Source organism: Homo sapiens, chromosome 12 (genome assembly GCF_000001405.40).
Source record: "Homo sapiens chromosome 12, GRCh38.p14 Primary Assembly".
NCBI classification, from domain to species: domain Eukaryota; kingdom Metazoa; phylum Chordata; class Mammalia; order Primates; family Hominidae; genus Homo; species Homo sapiens.
Window position 1 is genome coordinate 115,830,942 of NC_000012.12, and position 26,460 is coordinate 115,857,401.

The following is a 26,460-nucleotide window of genomic DNA, read 5'->3' on the forward strand; positions in this document are numbered from 1 at the left end:
GCTCCACTGGTGGGAGGCGGAAGCAGGTAGATAAACACCTTAGCTTCCTGTTCTCTGGACAGAGAATTCCAGGAGACAAAAAATCAAGCCCAGTGTCCACAGTGACAACCCACTCAGTAACCCATTATTATATTGATTTGCCTCTGTCCTGTATCTCTTACCCCAACTGCCTCACTCTTGCTACCTGGGACCACCTTCAATAAGCTATCTGTACCTAAGCAATTGTTACAGGCCCTGTTATAAGAGGAATGTGAACCAAGACAGCATGCAATAAATTAATACAGTCATTCATGGATATAGTTAAACATAAATAGATGTACATGCATTGGCAGTACATGTGCAAAAACAAATTTACTGATAATGGTATAGAATAAAAAATGTGTAGATCATGCCTCTAGTGCATTCCATATGTGGAGATTAGAATGAGTCCCATGCAGGATGTTGTTGTTGTCGTTGTGTGAGTGTTGTGCTATACTTTGTCACAGGAGCATACAAATTGCCCTACCTGTGGCTGAACATTTTTAGAGGACATGGTTTCTGGCATATTTTTTGACAATAGACTATTTTTTAGAGGAGTTTTAGGTTTACAGAAAAATCACACAGAAAGTACAGAGGGTTCCCATATACTCCCCTCCCTATCTCACCTCCCACACCTCCCTGTTATTAATACCTTTGCATTACTGTGGTGCATTTGTTGTGATTGATGAACCAATACTGATACACGTCCATAGTTTACTTTAGGGCCCAGTCTTTGTGTTGTACAGTTCCGTGAGCTATGACAAAGTTTTTTTTTTTGCTGTTTTCTTGTTGTTCATTTTTTAAGAAACAGGGTCTCACTCTGTTTCTTACTTACTTACTTCTGTCACCTGGGCTGGAGTGCAGAGGCACAATCATAGCTCACTGCAGCCTCGAACTCCTGGATTCAAGTGATCCTCCCATCTGAGCCTCCCAAGTAGCTGAGACTAAAGGCATGCACCGCCACACCAGGCCAATTTTTTATTTTTTGTAGAGATGGGATCTCCCTATGTTGCCCAGGCTAGTCTCAAATTCCTGGCCTCAAGCCATCCTTCCCCCTTGGCCTCCCAAAGTGCCGGGATTATAGGCGCAAGCCACTGCACCCAGCCAGCTTTGACAAATGTGGAATGACAAGTATTCACCATTATGGTATCATACAGGATAATTTCACAGCCCTGAAAATCCCCTGTACTCTGCCTATTTACCCTTCTCTCCCTCCTCCCAACCCTCTGGCAACCACTATTCTTTCCATTGTCTTTATAGTTTTGCCTTTTCCAGAATGTCACATAGTTGGAACCATCCTATACGTAGGCTTTTCATCTTGATCTTTCCCACTTAGAAACATGCATTTAAATTTTCTCCATGGCTTCTCATGGCTTGCCATGTCACTTTTGATTGATGAATAACATTCCACAGTGTGGATGTCCTGCAGTTTGTTTATCCACTTACCTCTTGAAGGACATCTTGGTTACTTTGCCATTTTTCATTTTAGGCTTGTTGTCTTTGTCATCTTGGGTTGCTATAACAAAATACCATAGACTGGGAGGCTTAAACAATAGACACTTATTTCTCATCTCATAGTTCTGGAGGCTGGGAAGTCCAAGATCAAGGTGCCAGTTGATCCAGTTCCTGGTGCAGAATCTTTTCCTGGCTTGTAGACAGCCATCTTCTTGTGTCCTTGCCTGGTAGAGAAAGGAAGCTCCAGTGTCTCTTTCTCTTCTTATAAAGGTACTAATACCCTCATGAAGGCCTATACTCATGACCTCACCTAAGCCTGATTATCTCCCAAATGCCTCATCTCCTAATCCCAGTACAAAGGGGGCTGGGGCTTCAGCATATGAGTTTTGAGGGTATGCAAACATTCAGTCCACAACACTTGTTTTCCCCAAGTCTCCTGGGGGCCAGGCCAGGCTTCCAGCCCATGGGGTCCCCAGCCAGAATCAGCCATACGCTCCCAGGAGGCATTGTACCCTCCCCATCCTGTCCAAGAAGGCCCCTCTGTCACTCATTCCAACAAACTTCCTGGAAGTCCCTCCTATCATTTTCCAGATAGACCCAAGTGTGTCTGAATGACTGTGGCAAAGCATCTCAAGCCCAACTTTAAAATAGCCACCCACACCACCCAGAAAGGGGAATGGGATGGAGAGATGTTCATGTTTCTGAGCTCCTTCTCCAAAAATCATGTTTTTCAAAGGCTACTGGGCTCTGATAAAATATAGAAAGCCATATGAATACACAATTAAAACATCAATAGTCAATTGAGGATCACATAGAGAAAATCATTAAAGAGTGTGACTTTGGTCACACACACCTCACCTACCAACAGGGCAGGCCCCAGCCTGGGTTCCCTCTGCCGTGTTAAACCCAGCTCGACTGCCTCCACCACCAGCATCATCCCAGCTTCCCAATATATAGGGTGACAGCTCCCTGTCTCCAAACCAAAGGGATCATTCAAACTCCAGACCACCATGACACAGTTACAGCTTTTTCTAGGCCCCATCTGGGGTTTCACATAGACCTTAGGAGGTTCTCTGTTGGTGTGTCAACATGTCCTATGACACCCCTTGAGGACTTAGAAGGTCATAAAGTGTTAACTCTATAAGGATCTTTCTAGATCCTCTCTACCCAACTCTCTATTTTAGAGGAGAGTCCTCTGAAAGTCACATAGAAGAAATGACATGCAGTCACACAGTAAGTTAATAGCACAGGTTGAGCAAGAATTGATGCCCCAGACTCCTGGACAAGGATGATTTTCCTTCTTAATTTCCCCAACAATTAAGAAATAGAAAAGAACTGCTACCAACGTGCATTCTGAATCTCAGTTGTCAAGCTGTGTCATTGAGTAATCTTTTGGTTTAAGATAACAGGAAGTAAAATTAAACAATAAAGAGAAAAGGGAAGGATTCAGGTGTGGCTTGATCCAGGCACTTAATGCTGTCATCAGGATTCTTCTCTGACTGCCTTACATAGTGTCGTCTTCATCCTAAAACTGGATATTCCTGAAGTCAACAAGAAAAATCCTAAACCTTACTCAGACTTGACCCTTTTCGTTACACACCCAATCTAATCCAATCGCCAGGAAGAGGGATGGAATTACTGGCCCAGTGTGATTTGGGCCTGTCAGAGTCCAACCCTGCAGCTAAATATGAGCTGTGTCCTTCCACTCTAGCGGCTGCTGCCCAGCAATGAAAAGAGGGAATCAATGCTAAGGGGGCTACCAAAGAGATCACCCTGCAGCCCTTCCCAAAGACTAAAGAATAGCCTGAAGGTCTACAGGCATTGAGCTCTCTGTATCTTCATAAAATATTGACATGTTCCTGTTTTGTCTGACTCCCTAGGGTGAGTTTGCCTAAATCTGTAGGCAGACCCTTCCATGGAAATAAACACCACTGGCTTTCAGAGAATCAGTCTCCCCAAGCTGCTGATAGGCCTGGAATTAATCACAAAATTCCAGTCCCTTATTTTGCTCTTGTGGGCAAATAATGCGAAATGCCATAGACTTTTTGTTGGTAACTCCAACAAAGGGCTCTTTCCACAACCAGCTTCTGATTCATGATTCCACAACTTTCTCAAGTGGAATGCACATTCCACTAAAATTCCAGGATGGCTAGGTGGATCGCCAGGCTCTCTGATCCACCTGAGAAGGTGAAATTAAAAAAAAAAAAAAAAAAAAAAAAAAAGTGAGTCCCTCTCTCTTCTCTGTCTTGTTGCTCCTATAAAGGATTACTAAAATTTTTAAATAAATGCATCCTTTAAGCAAGTACATGGTTGTTGTGAAAACCTTAAGCAATAATATAGAAGCATAAAGAGTAAAATAGTTCAGGCCCTCTTTTTTCTCCCCCAGTCCCACCTCCTCTCCAGATTTGGACGCTGTCCACATTTTAGTATGTGTTCTTCCAGACATTCTCTTGTGCATTTATCTACAGCTGTATAGACACACATAAATATGCTCTTTTGGGTTTGGAGGTTTTTTTACTCACACAGTATTTTTAATATACATGTGTTTCTAAAAATATTTAAGAATGTGGTGGCTCATGCCTGTAATCCCAGCACTTTGGGAGGCTGAGGTGGGCAGATCACTTGAGGTCAGGAGATCGAGACCAGCCTGGCCAAAATGGTGAAACCCCGTCTCTAATAAAAATACAAAAAAAAAAAAATGGTCAGGCGTGGTGGCACATGCCTATAATCCCAGCTACTCGGGAGGCTGAGGCAGGAGAATTGCTGGAACCCAGGAGGCAGAGGTTGCAGTGAGCCGAGATCATGCCACTGCACTCCAGCCTGGGGGACAGAGTGAGACTCAGTCTCAAAAAATAAAAAATAAAAAATAAAAAATAAAATTATACCTTGAAGATCTGCCCGCTGGAGATATACCTGTATCAGCCCATACACATCTACCTCATTCCTTTTAACAGTTGTATAGAACTCTCTTGTATGAATGGACGATGGTTCAGTTAATTCCAGTGCTGGGAATTCATATATATTAACTGATTTTAATCTCAGATAGTCTCTGTCTTTCATCCCTCCTTCTTTCCTCATCACTCCCTCTACATCCCACTAGCTTCTTGGCTCTTCCTCAAACACACCAGGCAGGGTCCTGCCTCAGGCCTTTGCGCTGGCGGTTCTCTGCCTGGAATGCCCAGATAGTCACACGTCTCTCTCCCTCACTTCCTAGTCTTTACTGGAGGACATTATGTTAAATGTCAGGACATTATGAAATAAGCCAGACACAGAAAGACAAATATTGCATGTTCTCACTCATATGTGGGAGCCAAAAAAAAAATGAAAATTGAACTCATGGCAATAGAGAGTAGAATGATGGTTACCAGAGGCTGGGAAGGGTAGTGGGAGGGGGGTATTAAAAGGAGACGGTTAATGGGTAAAAAATAGATAGAAAGAATAAGATCTAGGCCGGGCGCGGTGGCTCATGCCTGTAATCCCAGTACTTTGGGAGGCCCAGGTAGGTGGATCATCTGAGGTTATGAGTTCGAGACCAGCCTGGCTACCTGGGGAAACTCTATCTCTACTAAAAATACAAAAATTGGCCGGACAAAAAAAAAAAAAAAAAAAAAAAAAAAAAAAATTGGCTGGGCGTGGAGGCACATGCCTGTAATCCCAGCTACTCAGGAGGCTGAGGCAGGAAAATCGCTTGAATCCAGGAGGCAGAGGTTGCAGTGAGCCGAGATCATGCCACTGCACTCCAGCCTGGTGACAGAGTGAGATTCCATCAGAGAGAGAGAGAAAGAGAGAAAGAGAGAAAGAGAGAGAGAGAGAGAGAGAGAGATCTGGTATTTAGTAGCATAATATGGTGACTATAGCTAATAATTTATTGGATATTTTTAAATAACTAAAAGAATAGAATGTTCTTAACACAAAGAAATAACTGATCACCACACATTGTATGCCTGTATCAAGACATTACATGTACCCCATAAATATGTACAACTATTATGTATCCATAATTAAAATTTTAAAAAATTAAATATTAAGATCCATAACAATAAAAACAAACAAAAATAACAAAAGCTACTACCTTGTCAATGAGACTTTCCCTAGCCACCTATCCAAAATCCCAAACTCTCCACCTAAATCTTCATTCCCCAATTCTGTTTTTTGTTGTTGTTGTTCTTCCTCACCACTTAACACTGGCTCATATATTTTCTGTCACCCCTCAACCAGAATGTCATTGTCCACCAGGACAAGGGTTTTGTCTGTTTTGTTTATTGCTCTGTCCCCATTCTGGATCAGCACCTGCACATACAAAGTGCTCAATAAACACCTGTGGAATAACTGAACAAATGATGGTGGTGTGTAATTAGTACTACTCTTAGTCCTGTCTTACTAAAGAGGAAACTGAGGCTCAGAGGGAGGATGAGGACATGTATGGTCATAAGTCTTAACACACCAAATGCAAGTATTTTATCCCTCAAAGCCATCAACTGGGCTGGGCACAGTGGCTCATACCTGTAATCCCAGCACTTTGGGAAGCCAACGCAGGAGGATTGCTTGAGTCCAGGAATTCAAGACCAGCCTGGGCAACATAGCAAGACCCCATTTCTACAAATAAATTTTAAAAATTAGCCAGGCCTGACGGTGAATGTTTGTACTCCCAGCTGCTTGAGGGTGGTAGGATTGCTTGACCCTGTCAGGTCGAGGCTGCAGTGAGCTGTGATAGAGCCACTGCACTCCAGCCTGGACAGCAGAGCAAGACCCTGTCTCAAAAAAAAAAAAATCAACTGTAGTCTTAGTTGTTGCTTGAATTCTTTTGATTCACTCGTATAATAAATATTGGTTGAGTTTTTACAATGAGTTTGGCTCTCTAGGAGGTTTAGGTGACAACTCAGTTCCTGCCCTCAGAAGTTTAATTTGGTGGATGAATAAGACTAGAAAAATGAGTGACAATTCTGAGGCTATTCAGGGTCAAGTGAGCAGCATTAACAAGGCATAGGGGCTAGGAAGGCTCCCTGGAGGAGGTGGCATTTAAGGTGCAACCTGACTATGCACAAAGCAAAGTGTACTCTAGGAAGAAATTGATGTGCAGAGTCCTGGAGGCTAGGAAGAGAGAGGAATTAAGTACATACAGGCCTGGACTAGAGAAGGAAACTGATTGCATTTACCAAAAGGTCCTTTCCTCTACGATCCTTCTGTGTGTTGCCTGCTTGAAAAACCCAACCATTCCCAGCCACCATTAATAGGGAGAGCTGGGACACTTTGCTAGCGCTTAAACTGTCCCTGACACTTCCAAATGCTGGGGGCTCCTTCTGCTTTAATCCATGGAATTAGCTTCTGGCCTCACTGGCACCGTCCCCTGAATTGCTGGAGGGCAGAGGTCAAGGCATTAAGCAGGGTAGATTAATACCCGGCCATAAATCCCAGAAGCTGCATTTAAGCGGCAGTCATATTTCACACGGGATCACCCCAGCCATTGATCGGCCCATCTTTTGGAGTGTGTGTGTGTGTGTGTGTGTGTGTGTGTGTGTGTGTGTGTCCCCCGGGCCATGTTTACGAGCCTTGCTGAGCCCTCCTGGGCAGCGCCCCCCACATGTCGCCCTTTGATCAGGGAAATCCAATACCTGAGGTCTGGGCTTTATGGGCACGTAAGTCTAGATTAAGAGAATTAACCACAGTGGATCACAACTAATAAAATGGTGCCTGGGCCCCACCACAGCGTGGCCCTGGTGGACAGGTAGAGGGCGGAAGGGATGGGGGAGAATGGCTACCCAGCATCCCGCCCAGGGCCACCACTCCCCTGTCCAGCCCACAGCTGCGCTTGGCAAGGGTGTGTGTGTGTGTGTGTGTGTGTGTGTGTGTGTGTGTGTGTGAATGCGTGCTTTAATCTAAATTCTCTTGTACATTTCTTTTTCCTGTTCTACATTCTTTCTTTTATGTGACAACACAGATTCAACATTTCCTCAAAAAAGAGGGACTCCTAGGCAACCTGTTTGTTTCTTTCTGCATTCAGTCATTCATTCATCAAATATTTACAATGAACAGATGAAGTAGACAGTGTTGTGAGTTAAATATTATCCCCTGAAAAGATATGTTCAAGTCCTAACCCTCAGCACTTATGAATGTGAAATTATTTGGAAATAGTGTCTTTGCAGATATAATCCAGTTAATATAAAGTCATATTGGATTAGGGTGGGCTCTAAGTCCAATGATTGTTGTCCTTAAAAGAAGACAGAGAAAGGCACACAGGGCAGGGACCATGGGAAAACAGAGGCAGAGAGTGGAGTGATGCTGTTGCAAGCAAAAAAAAAAAAAAAAAAAAAACACAAACACCAAGAACTTCCCAAGAAGCTGAGGATGAGGACGAGGCATGGAACAAATTTTCCCTCTGAGCTCCACAAAACAAACTAATGCTGTTGACATCTTGGTTTTGGACTTCTGGCTTCCTGAACTGTAAGAGAATAAATTTATGTGGTTTTAAGCTACCCAGTTTTTGATATTTAATTACTGCAGCTCTGGGAAACTAATACAGGCACTGCAGATGCAACCGAGAGCAAATCAGACTCTGCTTCAACCTTCAGGAGACTCCAGTCTTCCTGGAAGACAGACAGGGATGAGGCAGGTATAATTCAAAGTGATGAGTTCTGGAAAAGACAGAGCTCAGGGCCATCTGGAGGGCACAGGAGGACGACCTAGCATGGAGGTATCATGGAAGGCTTCCAGGAGGAAGTGAGATTTATGCTGAAGCCTAAAGATGATTGGAGTTGGCTAGGCAAAGGATGGGAGGGAACAGTGCTCAAGGCAGAGGGACTAGCCAAGGAGAGGGTTAAGAGGAGAGAGAGAAAATGCAGCCTTTGAGGAGATTAGAGAAACTCTAGCTGCTAGGAGTGGAAAAGAGGGATGAAGCTAAGAGAGATTTTCCAACTAGTCCATTTGAGCTGCTATAACAAAATACCTCAGACTGAGTAGCTTATAAAGAAAAAGAATTTATTTATTTTTGAGACTGAGTCTCACTCTGTTGCCCAGGCTGGAGTGCAGTGGCATGATCTCAGCTCACTGCAACCTCTGCCTCCCAGGTTCAGGCAATTCTCCTGCCTCAGCCTCCCAAGTAGCTGGGACCACAGGCATGAGCCATAACGCCTGGCTAATTTTTGTATTTTTAGTAGAGACGGGGTTTTACCATGTTGGCCAGGCTGGTCTCGAACTCTTGACCTCAGCTGATCCACCCACCTTGGCCTCCCAAAGTGCAAGGATTACAGGCATGAGCCGCCATACCTGGCTAAAAGAATTTACTTCTCACAGTTCTGGAGTCTGGGAAGTCCAAGATGAGGGCAGATTTGGTGTCTGGTGAGGACCGCTTTCTGGCTTGTGGATGGCGCCTTCTCACTGTGTCCTCACGTGGTGGAAGGAACAAGGCACCTCCTGGGAATCCATTTTTCATAGGCACTTATCCCTTTCAAGAAGGCTCTACCTCCATGACTGAATCACCTCCCAAAAGCTTCACCTCCTAATACCATCACCTTGAGGGTAAGGATTTCAACATAGAAATTAGGGATGGGGCGCAAACATTCAGAGCATAGCAGTGAGGGTGGGTGGGTGCCCAGCTGGGGAGGACCCTGTAAGGAGTCCTCAGGGCTAAGGAGCTTGGGTTTATCCTACGAGTAGAGAGAAGCCACCAAGGAGGTGAGCGATGTAGCCGGGGCTGTGGTTAGAGGTTATTCTGACAGTGGTATTGTGTTAATTGCAACACTGCTAAGTGAGGCTGGGGTGCCTGAGGGTGAAGTAAACACCATGTAGGATTCTGCCTATTAAGGGCTCAGGGCTTCAAAGCCCCATTCCTATCATCCTTCACTCCTAAAATGTGGAAAGTTCTGTAAAAGGACTTCCTGTGCTCCCAAGCTGTGCATATGGCCTATGAGTTATCTCCCAGGCAGCACAGCCACCCAGGCGGAATGATGTCATCTCCACCACCGAGCCCGCGTGCCCGGCGCTGAGTTGGTGTTCAGCAAACACTCCTTGAGTAAATACTCTGTATGTGAGTCCGATGGGAGCATCTTTAGTTAGGACTTACTGGGACGTGATCCGGTTTGGTGATCTGCCCTCAAGCTGGACCAAGGGTGTCTGCAGCTCCACTAAGGCTATTGCCGAGTGTTTGCCAAATTTGCCTGCCTGGTACAAGTGCTGGACCTGCATCAAAGTTCAGTCGCTGCTTCTTAGAACATATTGTAGTCTTGCACACTGGTTTTTTTTTTTTTTTTTTTTTAAGACGGAGTCTCACCCTGTCACCCAGACTGGAGTGTGGTGGCATGATCTCGGCTCACTGCAACCTCCACCTCCCAGGGTTCAAATGATTCTCCTGCCTCAGCCTCCCGCGTAGCTGGGATTACAGGCACCTGCCATCATACCCATACTGAATATGTATGAATCAATGGCTGGGATTTGGTAATCATACCCAGCTAATTTTTATATTTTTAGTAGAGATGGGGTTTCACCATGTTGGCCAGGCTGGTCTCAAACTCCTGACCTCATGATCCACCTGCCTCAGCCTCCCAAAGTGCTGGGATTACAGACGTGAGCCACCACAACTGGCCTGCACACTCTTTAATGAGCTTGAAGACAAGTTCAAAATGGCATTCTGTCTGTAATAGCAGAGCTGAGACTGGTATGGAGTAATGCAAAGTAAAGTCATGGCCGGAATAGGGCAAGGGCACAAGAGCAAGCATTTATTGAGCACCTACTGTATGCACAGTATATCAAAGTGCTTTGCAGATGCCTTCCTTGTCTAATCCACCCAACAGGCCTGCAATGCAGGTGTTCTCATCATGCCCAATTTACAGAAAAGCAGGGTGGCTGCAAGGAGGCGACATGCTGAAGGTCCCACAGCTTGTGAGCAGTAGAGCTGTGCTGAAAGTTCAGGCTCTTCTTTCTCCCTTCTGAGTTTCAAACCCGAGGGCAGGCAAGGGAGGATCAAGGAGAAGAGATAAATCAGGCAGAGGTTTGGCCTCCATTTACTTTGGGAGGCTAGTGGAGGGAAGGGCGCCTTCACTCCCACATATCACTGGGACATGAGCACCATCCCGCTGTCTACCCTGGCAGGGGTACAGGCTCCACACTCAGTGGGAAAACAAATCCCAGCCATTGATTCATACATATTCAGTCCTCTTTAAGGGATAGCCATGTCTGGGTTGGCAAAGCAGGAAACAGATCGACTCTTGAAGCTGAGTCTAATGCTTTAGACAATGACCCCACATTCAAGTGTGATCTACTGACAAAGGTCCTCCCTATACATGGTGAGCCCTTCCCCTTCCCCCTTCTCTCTTCCCACTGCACACACCGTGACTGCAGGCTTTATTCAAACAATAAGAAAATTAAAGAGGTGTGACAGGCAGAATAACAACCCTCCAAAGACGTCCACTTCCTAATCCCCAGAACCTGTAAATATGCTGGGTGACAGGGCGAGGAGGTATTAAGGGAGCAGGTGAAACCGAGGTTGCTCGTCAGTTGACCTCAACATAGGGAGATGACTCTGGATTATCTGGATGGGACCGATGTAATCACAAGAGTCCATGCAGGCTGGGCATGGTGGCTCATGCCTGTAATCCCAGCACTTAGAGAAGGCCAGGTGGGAGGATCGCTTGAGCCCAGGAGTTCCAGACCAGCCTGGGCAAAATAGTGCAACTCTATCTCTTAAAAAATAAAATAAAAAATTAATTAGCCAGGCATGGTGGCACATGCCTATAGTCCCAGCTACTCCAGACTATAATTGAGAGGATGAGGTGGGAGAATGGCTGAGGTGGGAGGATCACTTGAGCCAGAAAGGTTGAGGCTGCAGTGAGCTACGAAGCAAAATGCTGTCTCAAAAAAAAAAAAAAAAAAGGGTAAAGGGTGAGGCAGGAGAGTCAGTGGCAGAGTGAGATGATATCAGAAAGACTCGACCAGCCATTGCTGGCTTTGAAAATGAAAGAGGCCATGAATCAAGGAATGCGGGTAGCCTCCAGAAGCTGGAAAAGGCAAGTAAATTGATTCTTCCCTAGAGCTTCCAGAAGGAACAGAGCCCTGCTCACACCTTGACTTTAGCCCAGGGAGGCCCATTTCTGACCTGCAGAGCTGCAAGATAATAATATTTGGGGTCATTTTTACAGCAGGAGTAGGAAACGAATACTAGAGGGGAGGCTGGGATAGACATGGAGCCTATGAGTGATGAGTGTGGGCAAAAATGCATGTTGTCGGCCTAGATTTGGGCACGGTTCATTCATTCATTCATCCATTTACCCACCCTCATCAATAATGTCCCGTGTGCCCCCAGCATCATGCTGGGGATAATAATGGTGAACAGAGGACCTTGTGACATTTACATTCTATCCAGGGAATGGTCGTTGAACAAATAATTGGATAACTAACAATGCAATTATTAGTTGATTGTGTACTAAGTCCATAAACTGGGAAAATGTCGTCAAAAATACTGCACTAATCAGTCTGCAACAATGATGCCCATTCATGGGGCTGAGAGTCAATGAGAATACTATCAAGTACGGGATGCTCACTCATCCATTCAAGCATTTACTGAGCACCTACTGTGTGCCAGGCGAGGTGCTGGGCTCTGGGGATACCTGGATAAACAAGACAGAGTCCCTGGTCTCATAGAGTTTAAGGTCCAGTGGGGGATACACATCAAACAGATATTCACACGGTTAAGTAACTCATTGTAATGTTGATACATAAAGAAAGGGGACATGACCTAAATTGGGAAAAGCCAGGGAGGACTTCTCAGAGGACGTGGTTGGACTGGGATGGAGGAAGAAGGGGACTGTACCTCAGCATGCACCTGGTGAGTCCACAGAGGGCCAATCACACAAGGCTCTGAAGATTAAAGGAAGGTTTTGGGGCTTTCTTCTCTGAGCAATGGGGATGCACAGAAAGGTTTCAAGCAAGAGGACACGATCAGATGTTCACCCTAAAACGATTGCTTTTCTGCTGGATTGGGAAAAGATGGGCAGGGAGGCCAGCGTGGAGAACAGGAGATGAACAGGAGGCTATTGCCCTGGCCCAGGCAGCAGCACTTGGGGCTGGCTGGTGTGAGCAGTGCAAGGGAAGAAGGATGGTTCCAGGATGGGTCGCAAGACTCTGGCTTGGGCAATGTCATGGATTGAATTCTGTTCCTCAAAAAGATATGTCCAAATTCTAACATCCAAGACCTCTGATTTTGACTTTATTTGGAGAAAAGGTCTTTGCTGATGTAATTGGTCAAGCTAGAATGAAGTCATGATGGGTTAAGGTGAACCCTCACCCAATGACTGTGTTCTTTTAGAAGAGGAGAGGACACAGCGACACACACAGTGGAGAAGAAGTCTACGTGAAGATGAAGGCAGAGATTAGAGGGATGCAATCACAAGTGGAGGGACGCCAAGCATTGCCGGGAGCCACAGAAGCTGCGAGAGGCAAGGAGGCATTCCTCCCTAGGGTTTTTGGTGGGGGCACGCCCTGACAACACCTTCATTTTAAACTTCCAGCCTCCAAAACTGTGAGGGTACATTTCTATTGTTTTAAACCACCTAGTTTGTAGTGATGTGTTACAGCAGCCCAGGTTACCAAGACGGGCAATGACAGCTGTCACCCACCTGCCCTGTCAAAGCCACCTCTCCCTGCACTGTTGCAGAAGCCTCCTGCATGGCCTCCCTGTGTCCAGCCTGGTCCCTCCACCATCTATTCTCCACCCAAAGCCAGTGGCATCCCGTGAAACCCGAGATCCCATTCCTCCTCTGCTCAACCTTCCATTTGTTCCCCATCTTTCTCAGGATCAAGGCCCAAGTTCTACCATGACATACAAGGCCCTCCATAAACTCTCTGGCTTCTTTTCCCTATGTTTTCCCTCCCCGAGTGATGCCTTGGGGTCTTTGCACTGGCCACTTCTACTCCCTGGAACCACCTCCCCAGGTATCCTCATGGCTCACTCCCTTCTTCCCACAAGGCCTCAAGTGTCTCTTTATCCAAGACACTTTCCCTGGCCTCCCACCATAAATCAGCAATGCCCATCCCCACAAATGGGTGTGACAGGCAGAATAACCACCCTCCAAAGATGTCCACAACTCAATCCTACTTTATCTTTCTCCATAACTCTCATTTCCACGGAGCATGCTACCTGTTTACTTGTTCACTTAGTCACTGCCTGTCTCCCTCATTGTCCTATATATCCATTAGAGCAGGGACCACTGGCTTTGTTTGCCACTGCATTCTCAGCACCTGGAACAGGGCCTGGCACATAAGTATTTGTAAAATACATAAATAGCTTATTTACTGAGATGGGGAGCACTGAAAGAGGATCTTTTGGCAGGGGGACTAGTATGAGTTCATTTCAGTTAAATGCCACCATTGACTGAGGCACCAGTTAAGTGCATTCTCATTTTTGGTAATAAAATCCAACTTTTGGCCAGGTGCAGTGGCTCACACCTATAATTCCAGCACTTTAGGAAGCCGAGGTGGGCAGATCGCCTGAGCCCGGGAGTTTGAGACTAGCCTGGGCATCATGGCAAAACCCCATCTCTACAAGTACATACAAAAAATTCGCTGGCCATGGTGGTGCATGCCTGTAGTCTCAGCTACTTGGGAGGCTGAGGTGGGAGGATTTCTTGGGCCCGGGAGGGCAAGTGTGCAGTGAATTGTAATCATGCCACTGCACTCCAACCTGCGCAGAGTGAGACCCTGTCTCAAAAAAAAAAAAATAAAAAATATAGGTATGAGCTGAGAGGAGAAAACATTTTTAATAATAAATAAAATATAAAATCCAACTCACTGAGGCTACAAGGCCTGCTATGTGTGGCTATGGCTACTTTTTGGTCATCTCCAGCCATGTTCCTCTTCATTCATTTTTCTTGATACAATATGCCCCTTCCCTGTTCTCCAGCAGGCTAACTATATGCTGCCTCAGGGCCTTTGCACTTGCCATTCCTTCCACCTGGCATTCTCCCAGCTCTTTGGATGGCTAAGTCTCTGTGATCACTCAGTCTCTGCTCCATGCTGCTTCTCAGATTGGCCCTATCTGATACTCTCCACCAATACACACACACACACACACACACACACACACACACACACACAGAGTCTTCTCACATCATCCTGTTTGTTATCTTTACACAATCTCCCTTTATCACAATCTGCACTTGTCCTGCTTGTACATCTGCTGCCACTTGTCTGTCTCTTACCTCTGGCCCAATTAGTTCCTTTAAGGCAGAATCTTGTCTCTCTTATTCCCCATTAAATCCCCAGCACCTGAAACAGAGTCTGCCTGGAGCCAATGTTTAACAAATACAGAAATATTGGTGTTTGAGGAATTACCTGAGAACATCATGTATTTTTTTCCTATTGCACATCACCCAAACCCATAGAATCATAACAATCCTAGAACTAGAAGTGGTCTTGTCCAATATCCAAATTTTTCTGACACAAAAACTCAGCATCCAGAGAGGCTAAGTAACTTGTTCAAGACCACACAGGCAGGGCATGGTGGCTCACGCCTGTAATCCCAGCACTTTGGGAGGCCAAGGCAGGTGGATCACTTGAGGTCAGGAGTTCAAGACCAGTCTGGCCAACATGGCAAAACCCCATCTCTACTAAAAATACAAAAATTAGCCAGGCATGGTGGTGGGTGCCTATAATCCCAGCTACTTGGGAGGCTAAGGCAGGAGAATTGCTTGAACCTGGGAGGCAGAGGTTGCAGTGAGCCGGGATCGCACCACTGCACTCCAGCCTAGATAACAGAGCAAGACTACATATCAAAAATAATAATAATAATAAATCACACAGCCAGGAAGCAGCAGAGTGGGGACTAGAACCTTGATCTCCTTCCAGCTGAACTCTCTTTCTACCCTCCCAATCAATTATCCCTGTATACACTTAGGGTTCAGTTACCGATTTGTAAGCTTGTCAGTCTGTTAGTAAAGTTGTAGAAGATCCTGAATTTCAACCTTACAGGATAACTTTTCTTAATAACCTGAAGAAGGCCTGTACGACATGGCCTGCTTTTCAATACACAAACCTAACTTGCTTTAGGTCAGGTCAATATAGGCACATGCCATTTGCACACAAGGGAAGAGAAGAAGAATGATTATTTTCTTCTCAAAGCAAATATCCTATACAAAATAAGAGCTGTCAGTTCTCTATGTTCTTTCCAGACTCTGACCTTTTGCTCACTGTTCTTCCCTCTAATTGGAATGCTGTTTCCCCTCCTCATGGCCAAACTCCTGCTTATTCCTCTAAGCTCAGCTTACCAGTCACTTCCTGGGGAGAGACATTCCTGAGCCTCTTGACCTGGTTCATTTTGTCGATACCTTCGCCCCCAGCATTCATTCTTCCTATAGCCCTCAGCTCACTGATAACGGCTGTTCAATGTCTGCCTCTCCTGCAGGATCACATGCTCCAGGGAAGCAGACGCCTTGTCCATCTTACTCTCTCTCATATCCCAAGAACCAGCTCCATGCCAGGAACACAGTAGCTGCTCAGTCATCACCTGGGAATAATCTAGATTCCCCTTTCTTCTCATGTTGCTAAATGTTACCCCAGCATCTGTACTGAAAACTTGGTCTACTCATTTACCCACATCCAGTGCTGTGAACTCTAACACCTCAAAAGCACTCACATCTATCCCCTCTTTTTTATTTATTTATTTACTTATTTATTTTTTGGACAGAATCTCACTCTGTTGCCCAGGCTGGAGTGCAGTGGCACAATCTCAGCTCACTGCAACCTCCGCCTCCCAGGTTCAAGTGATTGCTTCTCCTGCCTCAGCCTCCCAAGTAGCTGGAACTACAGGCCTGTGCCACCACATCTGGCTAATTTTTGTATTTTTAGTAGAGACGGTGTTTCACCATGTTGGCCAGGCTGGTCTCAAACTCCTGACCTCAGGAGATCCACCTGCCTTGGTCTCTCAAAGTGCTGGAATTATAGATGTGAGCCACCACTATCTCCTCTTAACTGTCACTGCCAATGTACTGGTTTAAACTCTTATTACATCTTCTCTGGAGTACTACAATGGCCCCTGGGGACTGCTAATTTTATATGTCAACTTGGCTAAGCTGCAGTACCCAGATATTTGGTCTCATACCAGATCAGATGTTGCTGTGAAAGTATTTTCTTAGATGAGATTAACATTTACATTAGTAGACTTACAGTAAAGCAGATTGACCTCTATAATATGGGTGGGCCTTGTCCAATCAGTTGAAGGAATTAAGAGAAAAAAACACTGAAGTTCCCAGAGGAAGAGGGAAATCTGCCTGCAGACTGCATTCAGTCTCAAGCTGCAACATCAACTCCTCTCAGCCTCTAGCCTGCCTACCTTGCAGATTTTCAACTTGCCATCTTCCATAATTGCATAAGCCAATTTCTTAAAACAAATATCAGTTTCTCGCTCTCTCTGGATATATATATATATATACACACACACACACACACATATATACACATATATATACACAACTCACATATATGTGTGTGTGTATATATATATATATACACAAACTCAAACTATTTTGTATACATATTATACAATATATATAAATAACCATACTAGTTATATTTATAACTATGTAAATACACACACACACATGCATGCTATTAGTTCAATTTCTCTGGAGAGCCCAGAGTGATATAGCCTTGCAGCCCCAAATCAATCTCCCAGCCTGAAGCTTTGTTCTTCCTGTCTGTTTTCGCGTCCATATCTTTAGTCATGAAGCATCCTTTGTTTGGAATTATCTCCTTCCCAGAGACTCTCCTCCATCCCCCACTTTCCAGTCCCCTGGATTGTCCCAACCCCACACACAACTGACCATCCAAGATAAACCAGGATCAGACTGGAATACAGGTTGATCTGATCTCAAAGTCCACCCCAAAACCCAAAGAGCAGTCAAAACTACTCTTGCTCAATGGTGCGCACACAGCCTGATTCAAAGGCAGAGTGTTTAGATAAGTGGGCATTTCTACACTTTTTATTGTGGAAATGTCTAACATATATAAAAGTAGGACAAATAGTGTCATAACCCTCTTCTACTCATCTCCCAATTTCAAAAATTATCAGCTCATGGCTATTCTTTCATCTACACTCTCTCTTCCTTTAACTCTTGCATTATTTTGAAGCAAATCCTAAACCTTGTATCAATTATCAATGTATTTATGAATATTTCAGAATGTATCTCTGAAAGATAAAGACTATTTGTTTTAACATAACCACAATAGCATTATCCCACTTGAAAATTTGACAATCACCTCTTTTATTGGTGGCAGCAGTGGGATACAATCATCTTTTTTTTTTTTTTTTTTTTTTGAGACACAGTCTTGCCCCGGCTGGAGTGCAGTGGTGTGATCTCAGCTCACTGCAAGCTCCACCTCCCAGGGTCAAGTAATCCTCCTACTCCAGCCTCCCAATTAGCAGGGATTATAGGTGCCCACCACCATCTCCAGCTAATTTTTGTATTTTTAGTAGAGACGGGGTTTCACCACGTTGGCCAGGCTGGTCTTGAACTCCTGACCTCAAGTGATCCACCCGCCTCGGCATCCCAAAGTGTTAGGATTATGAGTATGAGTATGAGCCGCCATGCCTGGCCTACAATCATCTCTTAATATTATCAAATGTCTGGTCCAGTTATCTTATCAATGTCATTAACGCTTTTCAGGTATTTTGTTTGCTTGTTTGTTTGTTTAAATCAGTATCCAAATAAGGTCCAAAGATTGTGACAGACTGTTGTGTCTCTTAAGTCTCTATAAAACCATAGGTTCCCCTCTGTCTTAGTTTGGGCTCCACCAAAAGCATATCTGCAGACAAGAATTTGGGTGCAAACAGTTGATTTTGGAAGCAGTCCCAGAAAACATGGTAAGGAAGTAGAGAAAGGACCCAGAGAGAAGGAATATGAGCCAATAAAGTGCACCTTCAGAAACAGTAGCCACTTGGGGCAGATGGTGTGAAATCCTCGGAGACTTAGGACCTTGCAGACAATGTCCAGCATGGGAATTGGAGCCTCTATTTACCAACTCCCATCCCGCCTTGGCAGAAGGTTGCTCCTGGGGCATGAACTCTCAGCACTCACCACCTGTCCTGTGGACAGAGCCAGCACAGTTCAGCAGCCAGAGTGACCCTCAGGCAGACACACAGGAAGCCTTGGTGTGTGCAAAAGCAGTGTGCAGCTGACCTCCAGTACCGACTATGGGGAGGCACCGACAGCATCAACTACCATCTCCATTTTAGATACGCGTTTTCTTTGTTGAAATAAACAGGTCATATTTTAGTTTCCTATTTCTGCTGCAACAAGTGACCACAAGTTTAACGGCTTAAGCAACGCAAATGTATTATCTTACAGCTCTGGAGAGCAGAAATTTGACACAGATGTCAAGGGGCTAAAATCAAGATGTCAGCAGAGCTGTGTTCTTTTCTGGAGGCTACAGAGGAGGATCCATTTTCTTGCTTTTCCAACTTCTAGAGGCCACTTAATTCATGGCCCCCTTCCTCCACCTTCAAAGCCAGCAATGCAGTTGAGTCTTTCTCACATGACATCACTCTGATATTGACTCTACTACCTCCCTCTTTCATCTACAAGCATCCTTGTGACTATGCCGAACTCATCCAGGTAATCCAAGAGAAATCTCACCCTTCTCAGGGTCAGCTGATTAGCAATCTTAATTGCACCTACAACTTTAATTCTCCCTTGCCACATAACCTAATATAGTCACAGATTACAGGGATTAGGACGTGGACATCTTTGAGGAATCATTATTCTAATCATCAAAGACAGTCTGGAATTTGCTAATGCATCCTCGTGGTGCTATTGTTACATGTTCCTCTGTCCTCTGTAGTTTCTGTACATTGCAGTTGGAATTAGAGACTTAATTGATTCAGGGTCAATTTATTTTTGGCAAGACTGTGTCATAGGTGGTATCGTGAGTGTCCACATTGTAAAAATTACCTTGCAGGATAAGGCACACTTATGCACACTAAGTAGACTGAGAATTTACAGCTGCTTATAATCAATCCTCCTGTTACAATTCACAAGGTGTCAAAAAATATTGGACTAGGAGAAATTTTCAAAGCAAGATATATATTCCTTTTATTCTTTATGCAGAAAAAAATCTTTTTTGTTCCCATTTGTAGGCAAAAAAATCATCATCATCATCAAGAATGAGAAAAGTTTTTGAAAAAAACATTTGCGTGGTTTAGAGGAAAAAGAACTTTCAAAACAAAGCAAGAAACTTGTATTCCCAGCATTCTCTAATCAGGAGTTCTAAAAGCACATTCTATCTGAAACTCAATTTTTTCAGCACCAAGGGCTCCCAGGTTTTCTATAAGATGCCCGAAACTCATGACCCACTGCAAGAAAGGTACCCAAGTACATACAAAACTGAAACAAAATACAGTTGCATCTCATTTCCTCACCATTTCAGCCACTGGAGAACACCTAGTCTCCAAATTAGGTCAGAAGGATAACAGTTTGCCAAGGGACATGTGAAGAAGAAATCTTTCCGGCCCAGACATAGTGAGGAAGAATAACCACTCGACCCAAGGAATGAACTTAGTTTTGTTTTCTTTTGTTCTTGTCATTCATGTTTTCAATTTTCTAAAATTGCTTACTTCTCTGGGTTTTCAAATGTCAGAGGCAGAAAGTTTCTCACCTTACAGAATCTCCCAGAACTCTGTCATCAAATTACAGAGTGGCCAACAATGACGTTAACATTTATCTATGTCACACATGAACATCATATTTCATAGTAACTGGTCTTAACAAAAAACAGTATGTGCAACTTTAGACCACAGGACATACACTTGGCCAGGAGAGTGGAAAAAGTAGCAAGCAGGAAGGGAAAAAAAATTATTTTCAAAGAGCTTTTAAAATGGGGAGGAAAAGTCATTGGTGATAAAATATGGCTCTGTGAAATGAAAGCAACATAATTTAAAAGACAGTGTGGATTTACCCATACTCATGGATGGAAGAGAAATTAGTGGAAGATGTACTTTGCAAACTCTAACAGAGTAGCTATACAAAGTAACAATAACAACACAATAACTATATAAGAACATACAGAACTATATCTACTGAATACATAATTTTTTATTATTCATTTTTATTGGATTTTCTGACTAAAAATATTTAACCCATATAGATATGCATAACTTAGAAAATAGAAACTTTTCAGTCAGGTGTAGTGGCTCACACCTATAATCCCAGCACTTTGGGAGGCTGAGGCGGGTGGATCACCCGAGGTCAGGAGTTCAAGACCAGCCTGATCAACATGGTGAAATCCTGTCTCTACTAAAAATACAAAAAAATTAGCTGGGTGTGGTGGCATGCAGCCTGTAGTCCCAGCTACTTGGGAGGCTGAGGCAGGAGAATCACTTGAACCCGGGAGGCAGTTTGCAATAAGCCAAGATCCCACCACTGTACTCTAGCCTGGGTGACAGAGCAAGACTCTGTCTCAAAAAAAAAAAAAAAAAGAAAAAAGAAACTTTTCATAATTCTATCACATAGAAAAACATTGTTAACAATACTGGGTAAGTTATTTCCAATATATAATTATATATGCTCATATACATATATAAATGGTTACACATATATACAACATATATAATAAATTACTTATCACATTTTATATGACAAAAAAATTGGCTTCAAAGATAGGATCATATAAAACATATCTTCTTTACCTTATCAATGAAGCATGGATATCTCTGTATATTGACACATCTATCTAATCTGATCTTTTGAATGACTGCATCATAGGCCATGAAGAACAGTGCTCATTAATATAACTTCTCCCTATTAATGGGCTTTTAGGTTATGACCTTTTGAATGATCTTCTAGGGAAGATAAAGGAAAAGTGTATTAAATCCCTTCTCAAGTAAAAGCAACATAAAATACACTTTTTAGAACTCTTTCTTCAGCCTACCACATGGGACTTGGAAAATTTAAATACTGTCCGCTTTTTATTTGAATTCCATTGATGTCAGTTTTGCTTATTTGCACAGATTGGGCTCATTATAATATTTGGTATGACACATTCTTATCTCTGATCTATGCTTTTAATAATTTTATTAGTCATTTTTTAAATATCATTAGCTTATAGAAACTCATCATCAACAACAAAACCTAGGACCCTGTCAACAACTCACATCCAACCCTGTGGTCTCCTAAGCCCATCTTCCTACTCCTCTTACCTCATGTTGCCACCTTCCTGAATCTCAGTCATCAATGCCTTGCTTGCATTTTTATTTTCACTCATACCCTAAATATCGAAACTCACTAGGTTAATTTCTGTTGATGAAAAATATTGTCATCATTGTAGTTGCTTGCATTTTTACACTCTTTTTTACATCTGATGTGTATACGTAAAAGTATGTTTTTATTTTAGTTTTTAACTTAAAAAATGAGTATCTACTTGCATGTAACTTCTTGGAATTTTTTTTTCCTCTTACCTAATATGACATTCCCAAGCACCTTCATTTGGGTTCTCCCAAAAGCTGACTTAGGACAAGGATTCAAGTGCAAATTGTTTGGGATGGAGGTAGAGAAATGAGACAGGGAAGGAAAGACAGTCAACAAAAGCACAGCATATGAGAAGCAACAGCTTCATGAATATGGGTTTCCTTTTAGGATAATGAAAATGTTTTGGAACTAGAAAGTGGTGGTTGCACAACATTGCCACTGAACTGTTCCTTTTTAAATGATTAATTTGTGTCATGTGTGTTTCATCTCTTTTTTTTTAATAAAAGTGCAAAGGCATAAGAATTATATAACGGACTTTGGGGACTCGCGGTGGGGAGGTTGGGAGGGGGTGGTACAATGCTCAGGTGACAGGTACACTAAAATCTCAGAAACCACCACTAAAGAACTTATCCACGTAACCCAAAAACCACCTTACCCCAAAAACTATTGAAATGAATTTTTTTAAGTGCATTATCAAACCAACCACCACTGACGGCAACTGGAGCTTAGCCTCTCTGGGGAAGCTCAGGGTGTACATATACATACTTCAGAGTTATCTCACCCAGGCAGCGAGGCAGCTGGGGTTTACCAACTCCTGTCATTCAAAGATTGAGAACTCTTCCCAAGGAATGTCAATTCCCGGGGCTTCCAGCCTGCAATGGAGATGGCAAAGTGCACTCCAGCTTGTGGACACTGAAGATATGAGCATGAGGGCTAGAGGCAGGACAGGTGCAAGCACTGCCAGCTGTATCGAAGTTCGCCATATTGTTGCCTTTTCCACCCTTTGTTTGTGTTTTAATTTTTGTTTTTTGTTTTTTATTTTTCTGATTTACTTTTTTTTCTTAACTTTCATTTTAGGTTCAGAGGTACATATGCAGGTTTGTTATATAGGTAAATTGGGGGTTTGTGTACAGATTATTTTGTCACCCAGGTAATAAGCATAATACCTGATAGGTAGTTTTTTGGTCCTCTCCCTCCACCCTCAAGTAGGCCTCAGGGTCTATTGTTTCCTTCTTTGTGTGCATGTATACTCAAAGGTTAGTTCCCAACTTATAAGTGAGAGCATACAGTGTTTGGTTTTCTGTTCCTGTATTAGTTTGCTTACGATAATGGTTTCCAGCTCCAACCATGTTGCTGCAAAGAACATGATCTCATTCTATTCTATGGCTGCATAGTATTCCATAGTGTATATGTACATTTTTTAAATCCAGTCTACCACTGATGGGCATTTAGGTTGATTCTGTGTCTTTGCCATTGTGAATAGCGCTGTGATGAACATACACGTGCATGTCTTTATGGTAGAAAGATTTACATTCCTTTGGGTATATACCCAATAGTGGGATTGCTGAGAAATACAAATCAAAACCACAATGAGATACCATCTCACATCAGTCAGAATGGCCAGTATTAAAATGTCAAAAAAAAAAAAAAAAAAAAAAAACAGATACTGGCAAGGTTGTGGAGGAAAGGGAACACTCATACACTGCTGATGGGAATGTAAATTAGTTCCGCCACTGTGGAAAGCAGTTTGGTGATGTCTCAAGGAATTTAAAACACCCTTTGTGTTTTTTTGCTGCTGTGTTACATTCCATTATTGGAAAATACCACACTTTTTCATGCACATTCTGTTATTTGATTTGTTTCCAATTGATATTAGAAAATATGGCATTAGGGGGAAAATTGTGTAAATTCAAGGGGTACAAGTGCAATTTTGTTACATGGATATATTGCCTAGGGTGAAGTCTGAGCTTTTAGTGTAACCATCACCAGAATAATGCACATTGTACCCATTAAGTAATTTCTCATCCCCCATCCCCTCCCGCCTCCCACCCTTCCAAATCTCCAGTGTCTGTTATTCCATGCTGTGTGTCCACATGTACACACTATTCAGCTTCCATTTGTAGTTGAGAACATACAGTATTTAACTTTCTGTTTCTGAGTTATTTCACTTAATGGCTTACAGCTCCATCCATGTTGCTGCACAAAACATAATTTCATCCTTTTTCTGGCTGAATAGTATTCCATAGTGTGTGCATATATATATATATATATATATATATACATATATATATATATATATATATATATATATATATATATATATCACATTTTCTTTATCCATTCATCCATTGATGGACACTTTGGTTGATTCCATAACTTTACTATTTTGAATACTGCTGCATTAAACCTCATAGTGCATATGTCTTTTTATATAACAATTTCTTTTCCTTTGGGTAGATACCCAGTAGTGGGATTGCCAATCAAATGATCGTTTGATTTTTAGTGCTTTAAGAAATCTCCATACTATCCTCCATAGAATTTGTACTAATTTACATTCCCCCGATGGGTGTATAAAGCATCCCCTTTTCTATGCATCCTCCCCAGCATCTGTTATTTGGTGATTTTTTGTTAATAGACATTCGGGGCCAAGTGCAGTGGCTCAAGCCTGTACTCCCAGCACTTTGGGAGGCCGAGGTGGGAGGATCACTTGAGCCCAGAAGTTTGAGACAAGCCTAGGCAACATAGCAAGACCTCGTCCCTACTAAAAATCAAAAAAATTAGCAGGGCGTAGTGGCTTACACCTGTAGTCCTAGCTACTCAGGAGGCTGAAGTGAGAGGATCACTTGAGCCCAAGATATCAAGGCTGCAGTGAGCTATGATCACACCACTGCACTCCAGCCTGGGTGAAGAGCGAGACCCTGTCTCAACAATAATAATTAATAATAGCAATCTGGACTGCTGTAAGATGATATCTCACTGTGATTTTAATTTGCTTTCTCTGATATCAGTAATGTTGAGCATTTTTTCACATGCTTGTTGGCCTTTTAGGTTATATCCAGAAGAAAAATTACTAGGTCACAGGATTATAATTTTTCCTATTGAGTTTACAAGACTAAACTGTTTTTCCAAAATGGATGCACCAATTTGCATTCGCTCTGCAACTCCACATCCCTTGTAACCCTTAGTTTGTCAGATTTTTTTTATTTATTTATTATTTATTTATTTATTTATTTTGAGACGGAGTCTCACTCTGTCACCCAGGCTGGAGTGCAGTAGCGCAGTGGCATGATCTCGGCTCACTGCAACCTCCGCCTCCCAGGCTCAAGCCATTCCCCTGCCTCAGCCTCCCGAGTAGCTGGGATTACAGGCGCCCGCCACCATGCCTGGCTAATTTGTATTTTTAGTAGAGACGGGACTTCACCATATTAGCCAGGATGGTCTCAATCTCCTGACCTCGTGGTCCGCCCACCTCGGCCTCCCAAAGTGCTGGGATTACAAGCATGAGCCACTGCGCCTGGCCTTTTTAAAATTTTTACCAAACAAATTAGTGCAAAATAATATCTCATTCTGGTCTTGCTTTGCCTCATTATTAATGATGTTCCACATCTCCTTATACATTTATTAGTAGTCATATATGTTTCTACATTTGAAATGTCTGTTATTCTCATTTGCCCATGTTTCTATTAGGTTGTTGAGCTTTGCTTATTTATTTCTAGAAATTCTTTACATATGGCTCATTAATACTCTCCCTTGTTAGCTGCATGTGTTGTGAATATTTTCTTCTAGTTTGGAATGTCTTCCACCTTTTCACGAGTCTGTTGATAACCAATATTCTTCGTTTTAACAGTCAAATTTATCAAACATATTAGTTTTAAAAATACCGTCTGACCACAGAAAGCTAGTCAAATAAACTATGGTACATCTATACAACGAAATAGTGGATAACTATTAAAAATTTTGTTGAAAAATATTTCTTGAAACTGAACATTTTTTTGCAACTTAATGTTAAGCTAAAAACACACACCAAAAAACAGTATGTATATCAAGATCCCGCAGTATGAATTTTTTTAAGTTTAATAATATACTATGTTAGCAAGTTTCTGGACAAATAAGCAGTCTTATTCACTCTTGGTGAAGGGTGTAAATTTCTACAATCTCTGTAACTTGCAATTTGGCAATGTCTATCAAAAATTTAAATTTATGTATAACTTGACCCAGCAATTCTCCTTGAGGATATTTACTCAATCAATATCCTCATATGTGTGCCAGGATACATACAATTATATTCATTGCAGCACTGGTTAATAGCAAAAGACAAAATTATAAAACAGCCATACAATGGAATACTATGCAGCTGTTAAAAAAAGAACAATGTTGTCTATATGTATTATAATGCAATTATCTCCAAGGCACATTGTTAAGTGAAAAGGGCAAGATAGTATTGTATATCATTTGCATTAAAAATATTTAGTGCTATGTAAATCCTTTGCATGTATTATTTGCATAGAATGTTTCTGAAAGCAAAAAAAGAAAAAAAAAAAGCTAATTGATTAATTGCTTCCTAGGAAGGGACTTGGTCTACAGGATATCCTCACAACCTCTTTAGGAAGTAAATATTACTATTTTATTCATTAGACACGAGGAACCTAGAACAAGGGAACTCCAGAAGCCCCAGTGGAATGAAAAGAAAGGAATCCAATGAGATCATCGCTATTAATTCACTCCAAGTTTCTTGACTGTTGTCTCTGTGCCAGGCTCTCTG

General features: G+C 42.7%; 1 long non-coding RNA gene and 1 other non-coding gene across 2 annotated transcripts in view; both read right to left on the bottom strand.

Moving 5' to 3' along the window:
* The window catches only part of LINC02463 (long intergenic non-protein coding RNA 2463), an 80,288-nt gene that overhangs the window by 24,959 nt on the left and 28,869 nt on the right, over window positions 1-26,460 (bottom strand). The window contains exon 3 of the long non-coding RNA XR_001749337.2: window positions 1,465-1,697. This is a non-coding gene — a long non-coding RNA (long intergenic non-protein coding RNA 2463). The remainder of the gene's footprint in view (window positions 1-1,464; window positions 1,698-26,460) is intronic.
* LOC124900323 (small nucleolar RNA SNORD56) lies at window positions 21,707-21,777 on the bottom strand. The gene has a single exon (XR_007063626.1). It is a non-coding gene; the product is annotated as a small nucleolar RNA SNORD56 (small nucleolar RNA).